At 37.9% G+C, this 26,103-nt stretch overlaps 1 protein-coding gene across 4 annotated transcripts in view; it reads right to left on the bottom strand.

Annotated features, from left to right (window-relative positions):
- SLC30A8 (solute carrier family 30 member 8) overlaps positions 1 to 26,103 on the bottom strand; it is a 226,498-nt gene that overhangs the window by 159,783 nt on the left and 40,612 nt on the right. Inside the window, exon 2 of one of the 4 annotated variants that reach the window (NM_001172813.2) lies at positions 9,819 to 9,941. The exons of the other annotated variants lie outside the window; for them this stretch is intronic. The gene's annotated coding sequence lies outside the window, so the exon portion shown is untranslated. The remainder of the gene's footprint in view (positions 1 to 9,818; positions 9,942 to 26,103) is intronic. 4 annotated transcript variants of the gene reach the window in all.

The following is a 26,103-nucleotide window of genomic DNA, read 5'->3' as shown; positions in this document are numbered from 1 at the left end:
GAGCATGCTAGATGAATATAACATAACGTGAATTAGAAATATAGATCTTTTAAAAATCTGTTTAAAATGTGAATGGCAGTATCATCATAACAATGGAGAAAGCTTCAGAATAAATGGAGAAAGAATCACTATTTTTCATGCTGTCTTAAGCGTCTACCCTCATGACAGGAAGAAAATGAGGTAAATGTTTTCTCTTAAGCTCTAAGCATATTTGTACATTTTAATCTCTCTCCTTGTATATTCATCAGAGCAATCTTTTGTTAGCTGTAAACTTGCTATGTAAATATATATAAAATATGTGCTATCTACAGATATTCTCTGCTGAAATGATGACAGTATTTGTTTTCAGTGACTAAACAGGGAACCCAAAGTGGATACTAAACTAGCAGCTGTTAGCGTGCATTTCAACAGGAGAAATGAGAGACTTGAGAGAGATGTATTTATTTGGCACCTCAGCCTGGAGTTGATAGCTGCCTTGTTCTTTGCCCCTGTCTTTTCCTGCTCAGTTTCGTTAACTTGATTTTCCTCTTTCTGCAGTGCCCAGCCCAACTATAGTCTGACATTATATCTGATCCTCAGCAGAAAGAATGTTTGAAACCACCTAACTCAAAAACTCTTTGATTCAATATCGACTTCTATTATCCATTGGTGTCCATTTTTCAAAGGCTATTTACTGAGCATTTTCTGTGCGCAAGGTTAAAACAACACCTAGCTTCCACAAACTACTTTCCTGGGAACCTATCCCTTTTTCCCTTCAATATCCCAGTTTTTGGATTTCTGGATTTCTAGTTTCTTCTGCCTGGTCTAAACAGACAGCCTAGGTGACCTCTCCAGGACTGATTCACCTGGCTGAAAGTAACCTTATGCCCGGTATTATCCCCCTTCTCTCTTACCAACGTTTGCTCTTGTTCCTTCTTATTCAAGCGCATTCCATTGCTGCTTCTCCTTCCCCTTCTCCCAAACCATTAGACACACCTGTCATTTGTGGCAGAAGTTAACCTACTCAACAAGTACTTCTGCCCATTGTTCTGAATGTTCAATAAATGACCCTGTGGCTCTCCCCAATGTACCAGGTTGTAAAACACCAGTGAAATAAAGCATAACACCAATTAGGATCATTTGAAGAGAAAAACATATGGCTTAGAGTCATCTGCTATATTTATTATTTTCTGCTTACTACAAAGTTTCCTACTTTAGGCCTGTGTCACAAAGTGAGTCCCAACAAACACTGATCCTAAGACAGATGTCATGAGGAAAAATGCTCCCCTCCAGAAAAAAAAGGTGGGTGGGAAAGCGTTCTGTGCAGAAAACCCTGTATTCTATGTCCCCTTCTTGTTTCACAAACAGGTTTGACACAAAGCCCTCCCTCGCCCTCTTTTTTTTGGGGGGGGGGGGTGCATAATAGCATCTAATTTATTACTGTAATGTTTCCCATTGGACCCACTTTAGGAAATGCAGCTTTAAGAAGACAAAGATGAACCAGATATTTTTTTCCACCTTCAAAGGACCTTTATCTTGGAATGGACCATGGAGAAAAATGAACAGCAGAAAATAAGAGTAAACAAAGCACAGGTGTATGTGTTTGTGTGTCTGAGCAGAGGGAAACTATAAGAATGGGCTGTTTGCTAAGTTTCATTGTAAGGTGACTGGCATCGTATTTTCCTTGGAATAATGATACATGGTTTTTTGTCCTAAATCTCTATGTGGTGTAGAACATATAAAGAAAGTCAGATAGCGGGGAACTTTTAAGAAGTTTTATGGTTGATAGAAAGATCCTTAATCCTCTTGTTTGTGCCACGCAGTTTCCTATAAGCTCCCCTCACCAACATCTTGTCCTTTCAACAGCCTCTAAAAAGAATTTCCACCTTCATCCCAAATTCTGGTTTCAGCTCTCGGTATATCTATATATATATATATTTGTAATATATATAGATATATAGTTGTGATGTTACCAAATGCCAGGGGTTCGGTCTAGGTCCCTTTGCTTGCTGCACGCAAAGCCAATTACTGAGACAACAGATATTAGCAGAGAAGAAGGTTTTATTCATGTGACATCAGCCAGAGAGACAGAAGACAAACCTCAAATCCATCCCTCTCCCACAGACTAAAGTTAGGGGTTTATATAGCAGGGAACTGAGGAAGGGTAAGAAAAGGGAGTTGGACAACAGGCAGTAGGTGCATCTCATTTCCCAGGGGCAGTGACCTATCAATAGAAAGCCTCAGCTCTCTGATATTTGCCAGAAGGCCTGATGATCAGTTCCCTGAGAAAGGAACTGAGATAAGACATCAGTAAGTTAAAACTGGATCCATTTCAGTAACACTACGTACTTGTTTTGCAACCTATCCTCTCACACACTTGATTTACCTTAAGTCCAAAAGGGACCTAAAAAGACCATCCTATATTTTTCAGATCTAAATATGCTCAGCATATTTGCATGACTAGCATCATGTTTAAACAGCTAACTCATGGCAATTGAAGGAATAGAATCAAGGTATAGGGACTCACCACCACAGACTCATCAGCCATTCTCTTTCCTTGGCCAACCCATTGAGAATTTCCTCAAAGATGATAGGCTCATTCTTTGTAAAGACTTCATTTGTTACACCCTTGTTACTCTCAGCCACATTCTGGAAACTAAGAAGGACTGTTCAGCAGCCAAAGGCTAATATGATAACACTTGAAAAGAAACCCCAGTGAGTTACTAATGGGAATATTTATTTGTGAGTCGGGATCTGACCACCTTTTCAGAATCATTACTGATCCCCTCATCTTCAGCATTCATGTGCCCCTATATTAGGTTGGTGCAAAAGTAATTGCGGTTTTGCCATTAAACGCAGTGGCAAAAACTGCAAATACTATTGCACCAACCAAATAAAACAGCAATGCCAAGTTCACCAAGAGCTAAATGAAAACATATTGATAGTCTGTTTCACACTTTTTTCAAAAATATTCTAAGTTAAAGATTCTGTATTAAGGGTGAAGGATTTCATGAATTTAATGGCTAACAATTTATCCTTAAATGTGCTATCATTGAAAAAAATGACTGATAATGATTAATATATTCTCACATGACCTACAGAGAGGCTTTGTTTTTAAACATCTCTATGTAAAACTAAAATCTTTAAGAAAAAAATGAAGTTAAATAGGAAAGCAAAGTTAAAAAGAGGGATTAAAATGGACTTGAAAGAAAACACTCTTCATTCCTTCACCTCTGTCCCTCCTAGATAATTCTTTGGCCCCTTTAGACTCCCATAAGAAGGATTTCCATCTTCATCCCAAAGCTTGACACCACCAAGTCCAGGTATATATATGGTTGTCATTTTTAAGCTGTAAGGTGCTAATATACCTGACACATTGTGGACAAGAGAATTTACTGAGAAAAAAATGAATGAATATTAATATTTTATTTTCTTTTTTACTTCCACATTTTCTTCTTTTATCTACCCTAGAGCAATGCTAGGTGCTGCTCAAAAGGGGTGCCTAGATGATTTGATAACATTTCCCACTGAACATCTCTGCTGCTCAGTCCTTGTATTCCCAGTCTTTTGTTATTAAATACTTGTTACCTTCTACAACTCTTTCAAATGTGGGAATGAGAAGGAATCATGCAGTAGAGACAGATAACAGAGGAAGGTGAGCTGTATACAGAAAGCAAAATTCACAAAAAGATGAATGCTAAAATGGCAAAGAAACATTCTTATGCTTTTCCTTGTGCCTCATTGTCCATGCCTCTACTCCCTCTTATCTTCCAAATTTCTTGACATTTCTACCCTTGAGCTGAAGGAATACAAATCCATTTTGCTAACATTCTTCACACAATTGAATTCTCAAAGCTATACCTCTCCTGACACAGGTAGTAATGAATCTCCAAGAAAGTATAAGAAATATTAATAGTTGCAGAGAAAGCCAGAGGAAATGCCAGGGTCTGCTTGCTCTTTCATCAAAAGTAGCCCCATTAGAATGAGGCAGTCATGCCAATAGTGAATTATTAGATCTTTTTCTTAGAGCTGTCAGATGATACACTGTTGTCATGACCACTATAATTAAAACACTGTTTACTGAGTTTCTCTGAAGTGCAAAAGCATTATGATTGGCTCTAGAGTATTATAAGATTATAAGAAATATATGCTGACTGCCTTCAAAGGCCTACAATCTATTTGAGGATCCACCGTGTGTGTGTGTGTGTGTGTGTGTGTGTGTGTGTGTATACATATGTCTATGTACATGCACAACACACACACACACATGCACACACACACACACTTATATACAGTCGTCCTTCTGTATCCTTGGGGATTGGCTCCAGGAACTCCAGAGGACACTCCTGATATAAAATGGCATAGTATTTGCATATAACCTACACACATCCTACTGTGCTCTTTAAATCATCTCTAGATTATACACAATACCTAATACAATGTAAACGCTATGTAAATAGTTGTCATACTGTATTGTATGGGTAATAATGACATGACAAAAGTCTGTATGTGTTCAGTAGGGACACATTTTTTTTTTAATATTTTCAATCCACAACTGGTTGACTTCACTGGGAAGTCTGGAATTAGAAAATTAAATTAGGAAGATTAACTGCTAAAATACTGTAATTAGCTATCATTAAAATGGCATAACACTGACAGAAAACATTGAACAAAAGAAAATGTACACATTAAAAATAAGAAGTAAAAGAACTTTCAGGAAAGGAACTCTGTATTGTTTACCTATCTTTAATTTTGTATATACTCTTCAAATTTTAAAAAAAGTTAAAACTCCAAACAGCATATGCTAAATACAAAATGAGTTTTATGTGAGCAACTAATTAGTTGCTCAACTTTTGAATGAGCAACTAATACAAAAGTTCAGAGGAGAAAGCAATCTGGAATTATTCTGGGTTCTTTTCAAAGTAAGCTAAGTACACAAAATTTCTATCCTCAAGGAGCTCGAAATCAGTATGAATTATGTTACAAAGAGTAAAACTTACCCACTGTGAAACAAGTGCATGGAATGAGAAAATCTTCTGAATTAATAAAATTCACATTACTCATGGTCTTTTGAAATAACTGTCTTAACATTTTCATAAACTGGAAGCTTCCAAAATATTTCTCACGTAGTAGTCCTGCTTATGTTTTATTGAGTAGTTAAAAGTTATTTGCCATTAGATGATTATTAATATGTAACAAAATGCCATTAAACTTTAAGAAGTTTTGGAGGATTGAGTATTTTCTTTTTCCCAAAGAGGTCCAACATCACCCCTGGCTTCTTTTTGCACAATAAAATTGAATGCTATATTTTTGGCAGTGCCCAAGGATAGTGCAAAATTACAGAGGGTCCACCACGAACTCTAAATTAACAAGTCTAGAGCCTTGAGGCTGGCAAAAAGTGACTTCTGCTGTCAGCTCTCTCTAGGCTTCTCTCTGTCTCAGGTGCAGGAGTTGGTATAGAACAGGGTAGAAGTGTTTAATTTGGAAACTATCTACTCCATTGCAAGTTTACCTTACGAGTTTCACAAACGAGCTATTTGGCATTTCAAGGAACTTCGCAATAAGAGGGCAGACTAAAATGATAAGTTTCATTCAGGCAAAGAGGACACAACCTGAAAAATGAAACGTTGGTCAAGACTCCTGATTACAAGTGACATAAACCCAGTTAAAACCACCTGGTCAAAAAGAGAGTTGGTTCACATACTGCAAAGTCCAGGGGAGGATCTGGTTTCAGGGGCTCCTCCATGTCATCAAAAATCTGCATCCCCTTCCCCCACTGCCCTTCTCTTTCTTGCTCCTGTTCTTATGGCTATTTCTCCCTATGAGTTACCCTCGTTCTCTCGGGCTGTAGCCTGAGGATGAAGTAGATAAGAGTTTAGCGTAGTAGAATAGAATTTGAAGAAACTGTGGCACACCCAGATATACGACTGATAAGGTTTGGATCTGTGGCTCTGCACAAATCTCATGTCAAACTGTAATCTCCGGTGCTGGAGGTGGGGCCTGGTGGAAGGTGATTGGATCACGGGGGCAGTTTCTAATGGTTTAGCACCATCCGCCTGGTGTTGTTCTTGTGACAGAGTTCTCACAAGAGCTGGTTGTTTAAAAGTGTACAGCACTTCCCCCATCTCTCTTTTGCTCTTGCTGTGCCATATAAGATGTGCCTGTTTGCCTTCCACTTTCCACCATGATTGGAAGCTTCCCGGGGCCTCCCCAGAAGCAGAAGCCATTATGCTTCCTTTACAACCCACAGAAATGTGAGCCAATGAACCCTCTTTTCTTTGTAAATTACCCAGTCTCAGGCATTTCATTATAGCAGTGCGAGAACAAACTAATACAGTGACGTCAGTCACCAATTACATCTGTGAATGTAGAACTCAGGAGAAAAACATGAACTAATAATTTTCATAAAGCACCATGTAATAATAACAATGCTTTTCGACCGTTGCCTAAATTCTAGGCACTTTACTAAGCAGTAAAACTCATTGAACTTTCAACATCCTGTGAGGTAATCTCAGAGGTTTAAATGAACTGCTTAAATTCTCACAACTACTAGGCCGTGGAGCTGCCAGATTCTAACCCGAGGGTATGACTCCTGTTCTGGACACTGTGGGAGCTGGCTGAAGCTTTGTCTGCTGAGGACTCACAACTGACCTTTCCTGGAATTTCCCTCCACAAAGGGAGCTCCCTCACCCAAAGTCAGGCCCCATTGATAAGAAGTGGTTCCAGAGCCTAACCGCTTTGCCTCAGTTTGGAAGAGTACAACAAAGCTCTCATGGGGTCTTCTGAGGCCTCTGTTCCAACTCTATCCCCATTAAACTTCTTCCCCTGCCTAATTCTAATTCCTCCAATTTTTTTACATGTGCTGTCCCTAGGCTTACCCTCTGATAAAACTCATATACACAAAACTCCATCTCAGAGTCCATTTCCAGGGAATCAACCTCAGACAGGTTCAAAGCCTGTGCTGTTCAAACCTTTCTCATAAGCAACCTCTTCAAGTCAAGTGCGTTGGCTTTGCCTGCTTCACTCCGAAAAAATATTACAAAATGAATCATGAAGTTTTAAAAATGAGCAATTTCCAAAGAGAGGACAAAAAATGTTCCCATGACATATTCAGAAAACCTGCATAATTTTATGTGAATTGTGGACCCAGTCAACAATCTTCCCAGGTAAATACTGTATATTCTCTGTTACAAAGCTGAGAAGAAGGCCTTCATCATATTGGTTTACTCTTTTCTGTCTCCCCAGCAAAATAAACTGTTTGATAAACAGCCTGAATTTATCAGCTTCTCCTTTACAAAGTTTTACAAAACCCAGCCTGCCTTCACATCAGAAAGTGTTTTGATACAAACTATTTCCTTTGAGAGTAACTATGGAGTCCTGCAATCTCAGGTCACTGGGGATTTGTTAATATTCATTGAGTCCCCATGATTTGTCACAAGATCACAAAATTGCCAATGCCCCATCTTAAACTGAATTGCAACAGAAATCACATAAGAATGACAAAAAACAAAGAGCAATTTGTTCACCTAGTTCTTGAAGGGCAATTCAAGTTCATTTGGTCCTTTTAGAATTTTCAGAAAATAGTCTTTTTTTCTTCCCTCTCAGTTTTTTCAATATGAAATTCTGGCCTCCAAGTTATGATTTCTGGAGTTCCAGAAAAGGCCCATGCTCTTTCAAATATCTCCCTTCACTGACTTAAGAGTATTTGCAATTCCACCATTAGAGATTCTTTTTTTAACGTCAGTCAAAGGTCTCCAAGGAAATAGAAACTCTTTAAGCCATCGAAGTCCAGCAGTTTAGTTTGAGTATGACTGAGTTTATCAGCAACTTTCTAAGCAGGGGATTTTGATTACTAAGTCCTTGAGTAGAAGGACAGGGTGGGAAACCAGCATTGGTAGAAGAGTTATTTGTTCAGGATACTTTACAAACATCATCTCATTTGATTCCCAAGTAATCCTGTATTATTCCATCTTTACTGGGGAGGAAACTGAGTTTTAGAAAAATAGGTAGATTGCCCAACATCACATAACTAGACACTCCGGATGTGGGCCTACCTAACATAACAGTCATCTACCCTAAAAACACTGGGCTGATAAGGGTTAAGAAGAAATAGAAACTAAGATACAAAACAAATGCTTGACCTCATGAGTATCATCAGGCTAGGCTCTGGGGCTGAAGGCAACACTGGGCTACACAAAGCATGACCTGAAGCAGAAGGGGGCCTTGAGGTAAAAGGATCCTTCCCAACAGATAGATATAGTTCTCATGTACTTTATTGTAGAATGGCCACCACCTCTGTAAACAAGGTCAGGAACATCTATAAACTCATTGCAACCTCAGATGGCAGAGATAGTCCACTCTGGATTGCAGATACTTGACCATTTGACATATCAATCTTACCAACAGTTTCTACAGCCCACCCTCAGACAGAATGAGGTTGCTCTGAATAGGACTTTGGGGGCAGGTACAAAGAGAGTGACTTGAAGGTATCTAATGTAAGGCACTTAAACCTGAGTAGGTCTCTACATGAGGCTACATATTCATTCTCAAATAAAATAGCTTTTCTTTGGGATTCTCTCCTGTTAAAGTTATTGACAATACCTCTCCCTATAAGAGGAAAAGCACTTACAAGTTTGAAGTTAAAAATATACTTCTAAGTCATACAGAAATACTTCTGGAGTCAACTTTAGTCCTCCAAATACAATAGGGTTCTTATTGGTATTATTAAGAGCAAAGTTCATCCAAGCTCAAAAAAATTTATACTAAGTTATTTATTCATTAACCACAATTCTAGTAGTAGCCTTTTCTCATCTTGGAATGTTGGCAATGAAGCTCAAATAGTTTACTATGTAGTGGGAATACAGCATGTGATTAAGAATATGGGTTTTGCCACTACCAGCCTCTTATCGGTTGCTCATTTCCCCTAATACCCATTACCTTAAGGTTGAATGTAGAATTGATGCTTGCACAGCCATTACCATATATCATTTTACATTTTCTTTTGTCTCTCCTTCCCTGGGCAATGATTCTAATTTGTTTAATTTGTATATTTGTGTTTTTAAGTGTTTTTGTGTACATCAATTTTTAATATATTAAAAGATATTATGTGACTTTTTTTAAAAAAGAATATTTTTTGGAATCAGAAAGCCTTTGGTCCAAGTTTCAGTTCTACTGTTTACTAATGTGTGCCCTTACACAAGTTATTTAATCTCTCTATGCCTTAGTTTCCACAGGGATAAAATGGAAATCGATAGGTATCCAGCAGAGTTGTTGTGAGGGTCAAATGAGATAAGGTATGCAAAACCTTTAGTGTTATCTCTTTAACTCACACATCATGACTATGTATTTGAAGAAAAGAATTGAAATGGACTTAACATGAGATTGTGCTCCTCTGCCAGGTAAGCACATGGCTGTTCAGAAGGAAAACACATTTGTTTGGCTGAAGGAATACTAAAATCACTTTCTTCACCTGCCTCCAAGCAAAAATCCAGAATGTTAGTAACTAAAGGGCAGTTTTCCAATTCTAAAATCTCAGTTTACATTTTCCCAAAATAATCTACTTCAGAAAAACAATATGAGAGGAAAAGAGATTTTAATTTTTATGAAGCCAAAAATATACAGAATTCATCAAAAACCAAATGCCTCCAAAACCTGTTTTGCAACACATAAACAAGAATAACTTTAATTTATACTCTAGAAAATAAATGTTTTTTAACCATCTCTATCTCTCTTACTTGTATGATAAGTAAGACAGTTGTCTACCTATAGGTACATTTTTCAAATAGACACATCACCTCTGAGACCATGTGCTACAGCATAGGTTTTAGAATTCAAATTACCTGACTCCCCCGGGGCGCGGTGGCTCACGCTTGTAAACCCAGCACTTTGGGAGGCCGAGGCGGGCGGATCACTTGAGGTCAGGAGTTCAAGACCAGCCTGGCCAACATGGGGAAATGCTGTCTCTACAGAAAAAAAAAAAAAAAAAAAAAAAAAAAAACAAGAATTAGCCAAGCGGGGTGGCAGGTGCCTGTAATCCCAGCTACTAGGGAGGCTGAAGCAGGAGAATCACTTGAACCTGGGAGGCGGAGGTTGCAGTGAGCCAAGATGGCACCACTGCACTCCAACCTGGGAGACACAGCCAGATTCCGTCTCAAAAAAAAAAAAAAAAAAAAAAAAAAAATTACCTGACTCAACTCTCAGTCTTAGCACTAACTAGCCGTGTGATGTTACTTAGCATCTCTGAGCTTCAGGGATCCTTACACTAGAGATATTCATTCCAAACTGCAACAGACATGGTAGACTGATGACGCACCAGCCGTTCTGCCCCCACTTTTTCCAAGCCAACAGATCCCTACATACAATAGAGAGGCTGAAATTGTCAGACACTCGCTTTCCCAGCTTCTTGGAAATAGGAATAGGAATGGAACTCCTCTGTGGCCAGTAAAACATAACAGAAAGTCTACAAGGGTCTTCTGGGGAAAACATTTTTTTCCCTGGTAAAATAAAAGAAACACACAAGAAGAAAGAAACATCTTTCCTCCCTTCCTGTTTTGGGAAGAGCAGGGTGAGGGCATAATGCTTACACTCCATCTTGCAACTGTGAACAAAAACCCAATAGGATCACACTGAAATAGACTCAAAAGCCTGACAACATTAAACCACTGAATCAACTCTGTAACTGCCTCCCCCAAGACTTTGTATTATGTAAGAAAAATAAACCACAATGGTTTAAGCCACATTTGCTCAGGTTTTATGTTACTTGCATCACCAACATCCTAATTTCTATCCTATTCGCTTAGAGTTCCTGAGAGGAATATATAAGGTAGCTTAAGTGGAGGCTCAGAGGTTATTAGTGCCTCTGGATAACACTACCCTTAATCTTATTACTTTTCCTGTAAAATCCAATTCCATTTTTCACAATAGTTTGACTGCTGGTCCAACCACCTACTAGCTGATTATTTAATTTATCTGGGCCTACATTTGCTCACTTTTAAGTTACAACTAATAATACTTACTTTCTGAGGTTGTTTTAAGAAATACGCAAACTGGATGCAGTATCTGTCACTTGAGGGTAAATCTATTGCCAAGTGAAATGGCAAAATCTGTTGGAGGCTCAGTTTCATGAAGTTGACGAAATTAGGTTGGAAAACTGTTCAGGTTATTTCCAAAACTATCCATAAATGAGGATCTGTCAAAGTCAGACAACTGAGCAGTTGAAGAAGTAAAAACAATATGATGATGATAAATAGCTATTTTGAAAGAATGTGGTAATGTAAAATGGGATAGCTGCTTTGGAAAACACTCGGGCAGTTCCTCAAAAGGTTAAACATAGAGTTATCATATGACCCAGCAATTCCACATAGGTATACACCCAAAAGAATTTAAAACAGATATATTCAAACAAGTACTTGTACATGCATATTAATAGCAGCACTATTCACAATAGCCAAGAGGTGGAATCAACCTAAAAGTCCAACGACTGATGAATGCATAAACAATATGTGGTATATTCATACAATGGAATATTGGTCCGCAATAAAAATTGATGAAACACTGATACGTACTACAACATGGATGAACCTTGAAAATCTTATGCTAAGTGAAAGAAGGTAATCATAAAAGTAATAAAAGACATATGATTTATGTGATTCCATTCATATGAAGTGTCCAGAATAAGAAAATGAATAAGAAAATCTACACAGACCAGAATAAAAAATCTACACAGACACAGCAAAGATTGGTGGTTGCCTAGAACTGGGAGTCAGAGGGAGAGGGAACGGGTTTGGTGGGAATTGGGGAGTGACAGCTAATGGGCATGTGATTTCTTTCAAGGGTATAATTATAAATATGTTCTAAAATTAACTGTGGTAACGGTTACACAACTCTGTGTAAATAGTAAAACCACTGAATTGCCCATTTTAAATAAGTCAATTGGGTGATATGTGAGTTATATATTAATAAAGCTGTTTTTTTTAAAGGTGGGGAGGGGAGAAAATTATTCCAATATAAGAGAATTGAGAGAGGCTCCTGGAAAAATATATCAACCTTTGAAAATTTTTGCAAAAAATGCTCTTATTTATAAACAAGTTGCTAGAGTCAAACGTGCATCGAAAGATGGCATTTGCTACTATTATATAGTTTACCCAGAAAATTATAGCAAAAAGAAAAATAAAAACAATCAACACTTGGTACATTCTTGGTTCTAATCAGTGCAGACATTCATACCCTCACTGTATCAAATGTAAGAGAAAGCATCCTTATGTACATAATTTTTGGTTTCTGTTTAAAGATAACGTTCCAATCTAATCTTTCATTGATTGAATGATTAACTATTTACCATGAAATACCATGAAGTAGACTTGCTTTCAGAGCACCTTTTCTGGTATCAATTATCCTCCGAGAAGGAGTCAGAGTCTGTCCATATAGACAGGGACACGCTCTTGACGCCATCAAAAGCTCTTTTACAGTTGATGATGACTCATGCCAAAGAACTCAAAGATCCAAAAAGGAAACACTTTCTAACAAGCATCTATATGCTCAGCTTAGTGTATATTTCCCAGGACTTTATTCAAGGTTTAGACCTTATGGCAGAACTATTTTGAAAAGGACTGAGAAAGATCTATTCAAAATGTGTCTCCCAGTCCCCTTGTGTGGCTAACTTTATTCTACAATAACTTTGTGACACTTTAAATAACATGTCCATTAGCTGTGATAGGAATTTCAGGATGAGATGTCTGGAAGAATGAAAATGAGAACATGTGCAGATTAAAAGGTGACTGTGGGTATTAATATCCCCTTGAACTCGATTCAGCTGTATCAAATAGAGGCACATAAACAGGGACTGGACAATGAGGTGCTGCCAGATTTTGTTAGTGCTCAGATTCTGAAAGTTGGTTTTAATTTTCAATATCATCCACCATGTTTCTGACTAAAGGTTTATAGTTGTTCCTTCAAACACGTCTATGTAAAGCCATATTGATAAAGTGGGTTTTTTTACATTCAATATTCTGGCTTTAATGGAAACATTCTTTTCAGGACCAAAAATTAAGGAGGAGAGAAAAGACTTGTAGAGGATAATAAGCAAGACAGAGATGTCAAAATGTTTTCCTCTGGCCCATATGACAAACAGCATTAATTAATTGCTTCACTCTGCCAATGAATTATCGTAAATAAATTAGTAGGGAAACCTATTTGCTTTCACTGCTTATGCTACTAAGATTCTAAACAGCCTGGAGAATAAAATGCTAATTATTTTCACCTACCAAAACCCTACTCATCATTTAAGGCAAAGATCAAATATCATCCCTTCCAGGAAGCCCTTCATGTCCATGGCCAAGTTCCATAGTGCCTATTTTCTCTATTATACAAAAGAACGGCAGCAGAATTTAAAGACCTTCTTGATAACCTTTACATCAGAGTACCAGCTCTGCCGCTCTGCTTTTCAAATTCAAGGATAATAACAATCATGATAGGTATCAATATCTTACCATACACAAAGCTTTATGTGCATTTTAAAGCTGAGGAAACTGACTAGTTAAATAATTTCACTAGGCTAACACACTCAGTAAGCTAGTATAGAACTTCAACCAACATGCCCCTGCCAATTCATTATGCTACCTTTCTCACTTTACCTACCACTTAGTAGGTACTCAATAAATGGTAGTTCTTATTACATACGTGTTGACAATACCATTTTGTTTCTTGATTAACCATATAGGCTCTGATGGGAAATTTTAAAGACCATATTAACCACTGTGGTCTTAGCGGGCCTGAGTTTTACATTTACTGTAGGCAATGTGGACCTTGAATTTTATACTCAGCAGCAGAAGTGCTGCAGCAGAAAGTACTGAAGGCTATGACATTCAACAAGATTAGATATCTGTCATTTCTCTTTATTTCTTAATGAAAATAAGGCCATTTTCATAGACACAGAATACTTCTGACTATTATCTACTGTATGAGATCCAAGTTGGTTAATCTGGGCATGATAAAATATTTCAAAATATTGAAATTCACAACGAATGGATGCTAAAAAAAAATAACATCTTTTGGCCAGGCACAGTGGCTCACGCCTATAATCTCAGCACTTTGGGAGGCCGAGGCAGGCAGATCATGAGGTCAAGAGATCGAGACCATCCTGGCCAACACGGTGAAACCCCGTCTCTAGTAAAAATCCAAAAATTAGCTGGGCATGGTGGCCAGTGCCTGTAGTTTCAGCTACTTGGGAGGCTGAGGCAGGAGAATTGCTTGAAACCGGGAGGCAGAGGTTCAAGTGAGCCAAGATTGCGCCACTGCACTCCAGCCTGGTGACAGAGCAAGACTCCGTTTCAAAAAAACAAAAACAAAAACAAAACAAACAAAAAAACCATCTTTCAATAGAAACACTGAATCCTCATTATAAATCACATTTTTACTCTAGAAATTTTTAACTTTCAGGGCAAATTGAAAAAAAATGTATTTTTAAAGGTATTTTATGGTGGGGTGAGAATTCCAAAGCCTTATTTGGAATAACCAATGTTAGATCTGGAATACAGGTTGTCAGTTCTATTTAAAGTACTTGGGGCAAGTCTTTCGGATGTCAACTTAAGGCATGTAATTTGTAACAGAAAGAATTCCATTGAGGGCTAGAAACTACTTGGGCTTAGCAACCTGGAGTTTATATATCTTATCTCTCTTGCTCTTGGCAATGATCTAAGTCAAAAAATGGTAAATGTGATGAAATTAGGAATTGACTCTGAAAAAGCTAAACTTTCTCAATTGACAGCTACTTGCCTTAGATACCAATCCAGTAAATTACACCATAAACAAACTTCTAGTAATAATGGGATGGAATTTTTGATGCACTGAACCAATGTGGTACAGTGACAGAAGCAAGGACTTTGGAAGAAAGCAGACAAAGGTCTGAGCCCTAGTTTTGAATTTACTTGGGCAGTTAATTAACACACAACAATTAGTTATTGAGAGCTCAGCATAATGGGCACTATTTTAGGCACTAGGACCTAAAACCATTCCCTAAGCTTCTGTTTAGAGAATGGTTTATAAATAAACCATTGCTTTATTTAAAAATTCTAAGAAATAACTAAAGAAAATATAAGCATAGCACCTAGCAGAGCTCCTTAAATACAATAGGTGACTGCTGAATAGTAGCTAATATGATATTATGGTTTCTATGGCAAGGAAACCATATCCAGATAAACCAGCATATCTGGAGGAAATCTGACTTTTACAGTTTGATTTTCTTTATTCTCCATCTCCTAACCAATGTAACTAAAGCTCAACTTTATTATTTCAGAAATACAATCTTAGCCCAGTTTCAAAGCTTAAATGTTCACGTGAAAAAAACTATTCTAGTCACCTGAATATTTTTCTCAATGCCAATAATTACCATCATTTTAGAATGAGTCAGCCATTTGGCATGTTGCAATAATAATACTTGTATCAGGATGCTTTCAGTCACAAGTCATAGAAAAACCCTACTCCAACAGCATAAACAATAAAAGAGATGCATTCACTCATATAACTGAGAAGAGAGATAGTCAGGCTGCAGGTGCTACTTGATCCAGCTGCTCAATGATTTCACCAATGACCTAGTTTCTTTCCATTTCCACAGTCTGCCTTGCGTGATATCAACTTCATAAAAGATGCCCCTTGTATTCTCAAAATGGCTATCAGCAGCACCAAGTTTATGTGCTTTCTTATTCACCCAATGAGCAAAGAGAAAATTCCAAAAAAAAAAAAAAAAAAAAAAGCCCCTAGCAAATATTTTCTCCTACGTTATTGGTTCAAATTGGGTCATCAGCCTATCCCTAACATAATACCTATGGCCAAAAATTTAGGAGAACCAGCTGATTGGGTTAGGCCAGTCAGAGCCCACCCTGATACACGGAAGGTAAGGTTACTCTCATACAAACCACATAGTGGAGAAATTCAATATTATGCTGAAAAAAGATGAAGGGGAAAATGGATTCTGGGAAGGCAACCAACAAATACTTCTACATTATCTAATGTTTATTAAGAGCTCATTAACATACTAGGTATATTACTAAACTCTATGTATTATTATATATAATCCTCACAATGTGCCCATTATCATTTCCATTTTAAATGAGATAAATTAAGTCTAGAAAGGTTATGTAACTTACCCAAGTTCACACAGCCACCGTGTAGTAACGTCAAGATTTGAACCCAGGCCATCTAACTCCAAAGCCCATTCTACTATTAAACCACTTAGAACAATTCTTGGCACAGCACCCACTATTAGATATTAATAATAACTGCTAGACTATTTTGCTTTCTTGTATTGCTTTTTCTTTTTTTTCTGTCTTAACATTTGAGCATCAGCAGATACAGCCAAATAATTTGGATTAATATGCTACTTTACAATTATTTTCACTTTTCAAGTCAACAAATGTCTAGATCCAGGCACAAAACTAAGCACATTAGATAAAATACTTGGCCTTCATTTTAAGTTTACAATTTATACACTTTTACAGCTCTTCAGAGCTTGCAAAATAGTGTCTGGATTAGCTCATTTGATCCTTACGACAAACCTGGTCACAATTTCTACAAGCCTTACTTGGACTGGAAGCGTCAGGGCCCACAGTGAGGGTGGACTGACTAAAAATCTTCACACAAGATTTAAATGTTTGCCCTCGCCCAGGTCCAGACAACTCGGTCATAGGAATTTGCGCCCACTCCCCCATCACTGCCCACACCCACCTCACTGGCCCCAGTCTTGACTCTCAGGCCTGTTCTGATTTCAAGAAATAAGAACTGTTATCCACAACACATAAGACATGGCTAACATTGCTTGATCTGACTCATAGCGTTTAAAATAGAGCAACCAGCTCAATCAGCTTGAAATGGAGAAGAAAATTGTGGGCCTTTTTCTCCTTCTACTGTAAGTGGAAGCACGTCCTCAAAGGACCAGATTTTCCACTAAGGATCTCCCAAAGACTAAAATGCCCAGGGCCATGTTAGGTCACAGGGCTTCCTGGGACCTACTTTCTCATGAACAGAAAACTTTTAGGAAAATATGTCTATTGTTGTTCTCTTAGCAGCTAATAACATTCTATATAATTATTTTCATATCTGTTTATTAATTTTTTATGTCTGCTTTTTTGTTTCATAATTTCTTTTCCTTATAAATGTGAAACTTTAACTTACCTCTGCATATCCTACTATAATTATTTTAAAGCCTATGTCAATATAAAATATCAAAGAATTTATGGTGTGAAGTGGGATACTAATGGTATCAGAAACAGGAAACCTCATTTATCAATGAAATAAATAAGTAAAGTCTGTGTCAGGCACTGCAATAGAATTAATTGCATCTGGAATACATTTATGTTCCAATAGCTGATTCCATTGGTTTTTCTTAATGCTAGTTTTCTTCATGTGTTTATGAATTCATGGTTGCAGTGTCATTTTGAACAAAAGCCTTTTGGTTTGGGCTTGGACAGGGACTTTATGTCTCCTCACACCCACATACTCTTGCACTGTCCCTCGCCTTGTCTCTCCCTCTCTTGCTGTCACTCTCATGCTCACTTCTCTTGCTACCAACCTCTGCCTGCTTGCCTGCTTTCCTCTATCGTTGCCTTTACATGCCTTCCACACCCAGCCCCAAGTCCAGACCAGGTCTTCTAAAGGAGGTGTGAGGCATATGTCAGTTTCTTTTTCTTTTTTTCTCTTTTTGAGACGGAGTCTCCCTCTGTCACCCAGGCTGGAGCGCAATGGCATGATCTCGGCTCACTGCGACCTCTGCCTCCTGGATTCAAGCAATTCTCTTGTTTCAGCCTCCTGAGTAGCTGGGATTACAAACATGCGCCATCATGCTGGGCTAATTTTTGTATTTTTAGTAGAGACAGGGTTTCACCATGTTGGCCAGGCTGGTCTCAAACTCCTGACTTCAGGTGATCTGCCCGCCTCAGCCTCCTAAAGTGCTGGGTGGCGTGTGCCACCACGCGTGGCCCATATGTTAGTTTCTTAGGGCTGCTGTAACAAATTACCACAAGCCTCGTGGCTTAAGACAACAGAAATGCATTGTCTCATAGTTCTGGAGGCCACAAGTCTGAAATCAAGGTGTCAGCAAGGCCATACTCCCTCCGAAGGTATTAGGTAAGAATCTTCCTGTCTCTCTGCTAACTTCTGCTGGCTCCAGCATTCCCTGGCATGGTTTGGCTTGCAGCTAATTGTAAGCTATGTCCCTCTCTTCACATGGCCTTTTCCCCTATGTGTCTCTGTGTCTTCTCTTTTTATAAGGACACCACAGTTATTGGGTTTGGGGCCACTCTAATCCAAGTTGATTTCATCTCAAGATCTTTAACTAATTACATATGCAAATCTACAAAGACCTTATTCCCATATAAGATCACATTCTGAGATTCTGAGCAGCCATGAATTTTGGGGGACGCTCTTCAACCCACTGCAGGGCATAGGCCCTTAGATGAAATTGAAGAGAATTATAGACACAGTTACCAAGACAGTAGGATGATTTTATCAGCTCACAAGGCTGTTTCTTGGTACTTTGACTCAGGCAGTAATTTGCAGCATTTTTCCCAGCTTTTCATTTTAAATAGTATGGGAGGGACTTCTGTCTCCTGTAGTGGACCCTCTGCTTCTTGAAGAAGCCAAATTTCTGGCCATCATTGCCACTTGAGAGCACAGTGCATCTTCACTCTAGCTCTACCACCTGTTCATGTTTCTGTTCCATTTCCAGTTTTTGAAGATGTTTGCCTTGATTTGAACCTGTGTCTGCTAAGCTTTCTTTTTTCATATTTTATCTCATATTGTTATGTGTTTGGGTTCATCAAGACATCAGTCTACTACATCACCTTGAAGAATTTCCTCTTCAACTTTTTTATGCCTGCTGAATAAGTCAAATAAAATCAGCCTCTGTCACCTTACAATCTCTGCTTAGATCAAACATTCTGAATTCTGGCAAGTCTTTTTAGACTCCACAGACACAGAAGAAGAGCCCATTCTGCTTTATACACAGCTCCTTTGCAGCAATGACCAAGTGGTAGCTTTGTTTCCATGTGCCTGTCTCATCTTTAGACTGGGAACCACTTGAGAGAACAGACCCTGTTTTATCATCTTTATACTCCCAGTATCTGGCACTATATATGGCTCCCAGGAGGCCCATCTATGCTCACTGATTGAATGAATGAACGACTGGAGCAACTCCAATAACTTCGCAAGCCTTGGGTCTCATTTACTCATATTTCTACCTGTTCCTCATTCCAAAGAAATTCCTCTAATAAATATTCTTCATTTTCAAAACACTGTCTGGGGTGTTTTGCTATGTACCCTGACTAAAATAAAATTTCCAAGTCCTATTTTTAGATCAAATTTTACTTGACAATTAGGTTTTGGTAAGTAAATTTCATTTCCCTGTTTTGATCTACATTCAATGCAAAAACATCCCAAAAGCAAGCTACTTTAAAAAAAAAACTGATTTAATTTTCTAATAGCTAAATCATTAAAACTGTTTATCATCTTCCTTGTAAATAATCTAGCAGCTGTGAATATTCTATACATCTAACAAAAAATATTTTTAATAGAGGACAGGAAAATGTCATAAATAATGAGACATTGTAAAAATTAATGTTTTTGCATTTTATGGTTCACCTGCAATGAATTATAGATTACATTTTAAAGTGTGCTCTGGGCTCCCATCTCATAAAGACTATCATCAGAAGAACAGGCAAACTGTGCAGTTCCTCATTTTGTAACCCATTAGCCCCTAGATGATCATGCTTCAGAGGTGGATGGTAAGCATGGGATCGTGTGCTTCACCCCCTTCGTCTTCTGCCTCTTGCAGTTCAAACATGCAAACAGGTTTTTAGAAACTGTGCCCAACTATCATTCTGCTCCTTAGAGACAGAAACACTACACATATTGTCTTTGCTAAACTGGACTCTGAAGAGTGAAGTTATGTGACAAGAGCAAAACTCCGTCTCAAAAAAAAAAAAAAGAATGCCTCCTTCTTGAAGCACTCCAAGTCTCTATGTTTAAATCATTTTCTACTTAGGAAACAATGCAAACAATGGGGTTTGGAGTTGGGCCAAGTTTTCATTTGCTTTTGCACTTTTCTTCTGATGACAATATTCTGCATGCCTTTCCAAATGCCTGAATACCACTGAGTAGGAGCCATATATACATGCAAAACATCAAACTTTCAAAGTTTCATAGCTACCAAATAAATGTACAGCCACCAACATGTCTCACAAGCTTACACTTGTAGAACAGCATACACGGGGTTTGCCTATACAAGGGTAAATGTGTGATGACCTATAAGCCCTACACGGGATAAGAATAAGGTCTCTGTCTGGCCAAGATCACCCTTCCTGCTCAGGGAGAGAGAGAAAGAGAAAGACAAGTAGAGACAAAGAGACAGAAAGAGAGTTGGGGTTTAGGGAGAACAAGTATAGCTAAGAGTAGATTTTAAGTACCCTCACCACAAAAAAATAAGTATGTGAGGTAACACATGTTAATTAGCTTGATTAGCCATTCTACAATGTATACATACTTCAAAACATGTTGTACACCATAAATTTACAAATTTTAATCTGTTTATTTAAAATAATTAATTAAAATAAAATAAAGACAGACAATGGGTATTTTCAAAGTGCTCCTGACTGAAAGCCCAAAGCACTGAGTTCTCACCCCAGCTTAGTCTCTGAGCCTCAGTTTCCTCCTATAAGAAGAGAGCTTTGGACAAGACAATGTCTAAGATCTCTTTTAGAGCTAACATTTTGTGAGACTAAAAATAAAAATACTTGAACAATCCACTTTGTCATGGGTAGCGACTAACTGGGGCTGGTGGTGTGGATGGTAAAGGAATTTACCAAGACAGTTGGAAGTAAAGAAAGGCAGATTTATTAGAGAAAATATGAAAATATGTTGCAAGGATGCAATGGGCAGATCAGCAAAAGAAGAGCTGACTGCAAAGAGACAAAGGCTTACCGGGGATTTTACAGGATGGTGCTTGTGCTGGAGAGGGCTACATGCAGTACAGAAAATGCCAAGGTTGCAGTGCATTAACTTGCATTTTTTTCTATCAAGTGATGGTCTGGTGATTTCAGGTGCAAGAAGATTGTGCGTTATCTGTGCAGGACGGCTATCTGTCCCGAACCATGAAGAAAGCCAGACTTACAGCTTATCTGCTTTTGGTTTTTGCTTTTCCCCTGCTCCCACCAGCCTGGCTCCTTTTTCCTTATTAGGACTCCACATACTTCACTTATTAGAGACTCTTCTATTCTGAGGATACAAAACCCTGCACAGTGTTGTTCAAATGACTCCCCTCCCTACTGTGCCCCCAATACATTCAGTGCCTCCCCTTTGGGCTCTGTTCACATAGTGTCTTAGCTGCAGTAGCTCATACAAGTCACCAACAGGGCTTTCTAAAGGGACACATCCCACAACCTGCACCTCCAGATACAAATTCCGTAAGTAGGAAGGGGTTTTCATGCTTTTATAAACATGATTCTGCTGGGTACTGCCAGTGGAGAATCACATCTAGTGGGAAATGAAGTTTTTTCATCTGTGAGGTGTGGCCATGAAATAACTAAGAAACTTGACCCTAGGTGGCCTATTTGGATGGCTTTATTTGGTGGCTTATTTAAAGTTATTTACGTCTAAAACCCATGGGTCTTTCAAATGATTTCTTGGAATTTCAAGAGCTCTCCATACCCAAGCATCTTTCAGCACTTTTCAAGCAAAGATGCATTAAACCTTGCTTCAAAGCAAGGAAAATGGCATCACAGCCATCTCAGGGTACAGCAGAATCAGTTTAGAGGCTGAGGTAGGGCAGAATCAGTTTAGAGCCGAGATCTCTTCTAGGGCAGCTTTGTATCTGTTTTATGTTACATTTACACCGCATTACATTAACAATCGAAGAGGCATTAGCATGACCTTCCATGAACTTGCTAATTACAGATGTGAACACACAGTCACAAGTGAAAAAAGGGAAATTGAGAGAAAGTAAAAAGAATGTGCTTAACATTATTATCCTGATTACATTTTTGCAGTCTTCTTCCATAATCAGATGCATAATTAATTTAAAAAGAGCCCTTCCTCTACCAGCTAAAACATACACACAAGTCATTTCTCCATGCCTCAAAGTACATGAATTATACATGTTAAAATTTTGAGGACTAACTTCGCTTTTGGGAAAGACAGGAGAGGTATAATATACATACAGAAGGATTCATAAATCCCACATTTATAACTCAATGAGTTTTTTACAAAGTGATCTACCTGTGTAACCACTTCCTGAATCAACGTATAGTATATTACCAGGACTGGAAGTCCCTCTCTCGAAATCACCCTTCCAAGTAGCCACTTCCTGTTTGAATCGGCATAGATTAGTTTTTGCCTGTTTCTTAACATGAGCAAATAGAATCCTACAGAACTGTATGTTGTCTTCTTTCAGCTAACACTGTTTCTGTGAGATTCATTCATGTTGAAATGTGTAGTTGTAATTTTTTTCATTGCTGTATGGTATTCTATCAAGTGACCTGCCACAATTTGTTTTTCCATTTGACACTGCCTGAACATCTGGTTGTTCCTATCATGAGTAATGATACTATGAACACTTGTGCATTCTTTTCTGTGCACGGATGTAATCTCTTCTGTTGAGTCTAGATCTGGAAGTAGCAAAATGTAGTCACAGGGCCTGCATATATTCAGATTCAGTAGCAGTGCCAAACTATTTTCCTAAGTGGTTGCACCAGTTCACATTCCCACAAATCACAGAGGTCCAGTTGCTCCAAATTCTCTCCATTCATATTCCCTTGAATCATTTCTGTGAAGTGGTTTTATTTCTTCTTTAAAATTTTGGAAAAATTCACCAGTGAAGCTATCTGAGCCTAGAGTGTGCTTTTTTTCTTTCTTTTTTTTTTATTTAGTTTTTTGTTTGTTTGTAGCAAGATTTTTAATTACAGATCCCATTTCTCTAGTAAGTATAGAAATGCTAAGATTTTTAAATTTCTTCTATCAGTTATATCAAGTTGCATTTTCAAAAGATTTTCTATTAAACCTAATATTTTAAATGTATTGGTATAACTTTTTATAATAGCCTCTTGCTTGCATTCTTTATGAATTTTGTATTATTATTTATTACTGTTATTCTCCTTACTTTGTCTTTCAGATCGGATATTTTCTGCTGATATGCCCTTCATGCTACTAATCTTGTCTTCTATCATATCCAGTAAGTTTTTAAGCTTTTTCAATGAGTTCTCAATTTTAGATACTGTGTTTTACAGTTCTAGCATGTTCATTTTATTCTTTTTTGTAGATTCTGGTTACCTGTTTCTATTCTCCATATTGTCACATGTTTTTCAACTTTTCCTCTATTTTTAACATAATAATTTTGGTGATTAGGTTTAGATGCTAACTCCAACATCTAGATTGTCTCTGGGTCTGGGTCTGTCTTTTCTCTTGATGATAGATCACTTTTCCTGCATCTTTGCATGTCAGTAATTTTTAGACATTGTAGATGCTTTGAATTACACTGTGAACTCAGTTTTCTTCCTCTAGTAGACAGTTAAATTACAAACAAATCATCTTGATTCTGTCAAGGCTTTGCTAGTTCAGTTCTTAGGGTTTAGTTTTACCCACACTTGTAGAGTATTGTGCTGACTCCTAAAATGTGGACTTCCTATTGTCCTGGGTAAAATTTTTTAGGGTTTCCTGAGGTTGCTCCATCTTGCCTGGATCCCAACTCCAAACTCTGCCTCTCTAGCACTGCAGAGCTTCTATAATCTTTGCTCAGCTCTCAAGCAACTATTCTCTACTAAGCCTCTCAGAGTTGCACCCTGTGACTAGGTAGTTTGGGATTAGGCCAGGAACTCAAGGAGATTATCTATTCAGATTTTGACAGATTTTCCCCCACTAATAATTTGGCTATGTTTTCTTTAAGACCATGCTACTAAGTCTCAGCCACCATGGCACTCTGAAACTTTAATCTCTATATCTTCTTTACTCGACATGGCCACGATTCTCTGCGTAGGCTCTGTATTCTTGTGCTGCAAATTGGAAAACTCTGTCAGAGAAAAAGCATCAGGAATGCTGGATCACTTCTTATGCTCTATTTCTCTCAAGGATTACAGCTTTTTCATTGCTACCCCATGGCTGCAAATAATTATTTTATATGCTTTGTTCAACTCTTAGATATGTTCATTACCATAGTTTAAGTCCAATGCAAGATAAGAGAAGTCTCCTCTACTTAGATGTTAGCCTCATAGCCTCCTCTCTCTGTTTGGTTTCTGAACTTTTTTCTCAATACAGGTAGCCCTTGGTAACTGATAAGCTCCTCATAGAGAGACTGCATACAAACTGCTGGACCTACTTGGGACTGCTTTGCTAGTCCTGCTCTCTAATTTTTGTCCCTCCCACCCATGACACTTCCATAAAGCTTCAACACAGCACTTTTTTTTTTCTTAACTTCTAAGTCTCATATTGTGTCTAGGCAAATGCTCTAAGAAGACAAAACCCATGACAATTTAGGGCTCATCGTGTACATTCTTTGCCTATTGAATCTTGGCCCTATGCTTCTGGTCACCTTCAAACAGCTGCTTTTTGCTTTGTTTTCAGTTTTAATCCAACGTTTATAATTATTCTTGGCGGAAGCTTTAGTCTGATACAAGTTACTCGCTCATTGCAAAACTCCTCATTTGCATTTTCACTTTAACTTTCACATTCTGGCCTAAAAGTTAAAATAAGATAACACCTAATCAAGAGATGACATGACTCTTGATTTTTCTCGGCTTTGTCACCTTGTTATTTTTGAACCCCCTCCTACATAATTTATACCATTTCACCTATAATATAGTTCATTGACGCAAGTAATTTTAATGCATTTCAGTCAAATAAATCTCCCTAGTGAAATATTCTTAGTTAATAAGTAACACGTAAAAAGCCAGAAGTATTCGCCAGAACCATAAATTTGAAGCTAATTTCACAACTGTTGAAGAGCAAGATGTTGGATGTAGACCCTGCACTGCATCTTCAGGGCCACAAGACACTGCAAAATTAAATGGACCTTGATAAGCATCATCAGATGTGGCTGTTGTGTTCTTTTTCCGCATTAGCAGTGGACCCTTGCATGATTCCTTAGGCTACAAGTCAAAGGGAAAGTATTTTTTTAGTCAAAAAAAGTAATTTAAATTCCAATATTATGAATGTGTACTGACAAATATCAGCAAGGGGAAAAAGAAAAAAGATCTGAATTTACTTATCTATTGTCATGGCAAATCTTTTATTTGGTTTAAAGATTAAGATTTACAACTGATGCCACAAATTATAAAAAAGATATCTAAGTTTTGTAAGAAAATGGAAAGAACATAGGCTGAGCATGGTGGCTCACGCCTATAATCCTAGCACTTTGGGAGACCAAGATGGGCGATCACCTGAGGTCAGGAGTTTAAGATCAGCCTGGCCAACATGGTGAAACCCCGTCTCTACTAAAAATACAAAAATGACCCAGGTGTGGTGGCGGGTGCCTGTAATCCTAGCTACTCAGGAGGCTGAGGCAGGAGAATTGCTTGAACCGGGAGGCATAGGTTGCAGTGAACCAAGATCATGCCATTGCACTCCAGCCTGGGTGAGAAGAGTAAAACTGTCTCAAACAAAAAAAAAAGAAAGAAAATAGAAGGTAAAATAGTTTGGAATATCATATGAAAATACAGTTAGACATCAAAAAAGAAAAGATTCTTGACTAAAGATAGTAGAATGAGTATTTGAGAGTAAAAGTGCAAGGAAAATTTTTAAAACGATGACTATTCTTCTAGAATCTCATTCGTAAAGGGAAAAGAAGGAGGAAAAATTCTTCTATAGTAAGGTAAAGGAGATTCAAAAATAGAATGGCAAATAATAACTAAGCAAGTCACCAATAAGACTCATCCCACAAGACCCTCCCCAGATAAATGTTCTTATTCCAAAGCCCAGATTCTTCAGGTCTATATTATTTGAACAAAATACTAATTCTTTCTCTCTCTCTCAGTCTTTCTGTCTCAGACACACACAGATGCAAAAATACATAACTCTCTTTTAACAAGTTTCATTCACTTATTTGGTTGTTTTTTAGATAAACTTTAAATTTTAGAATAATTATAAATTTAC

The sequence above is a fragment of the Homo sapiens genome, chromosome 8 (genome assembly GCF_000001405.40).
Source record: "Homo sapiens chromosome 8, GRCh38.p14 Primary Assembly".
Classification (NCBI taxonomy): domain Eukaryota; kingdom Metazoa; phylum Chordata; class Mammalia; order Primates; family Hominidae; genus Homo; species Homo sapiens.
The sequence above is the reverse complement of the archived record's forward strand: the minus strand, read 5'-3'. Positions and strand labels throughout refer to the sequence as shown.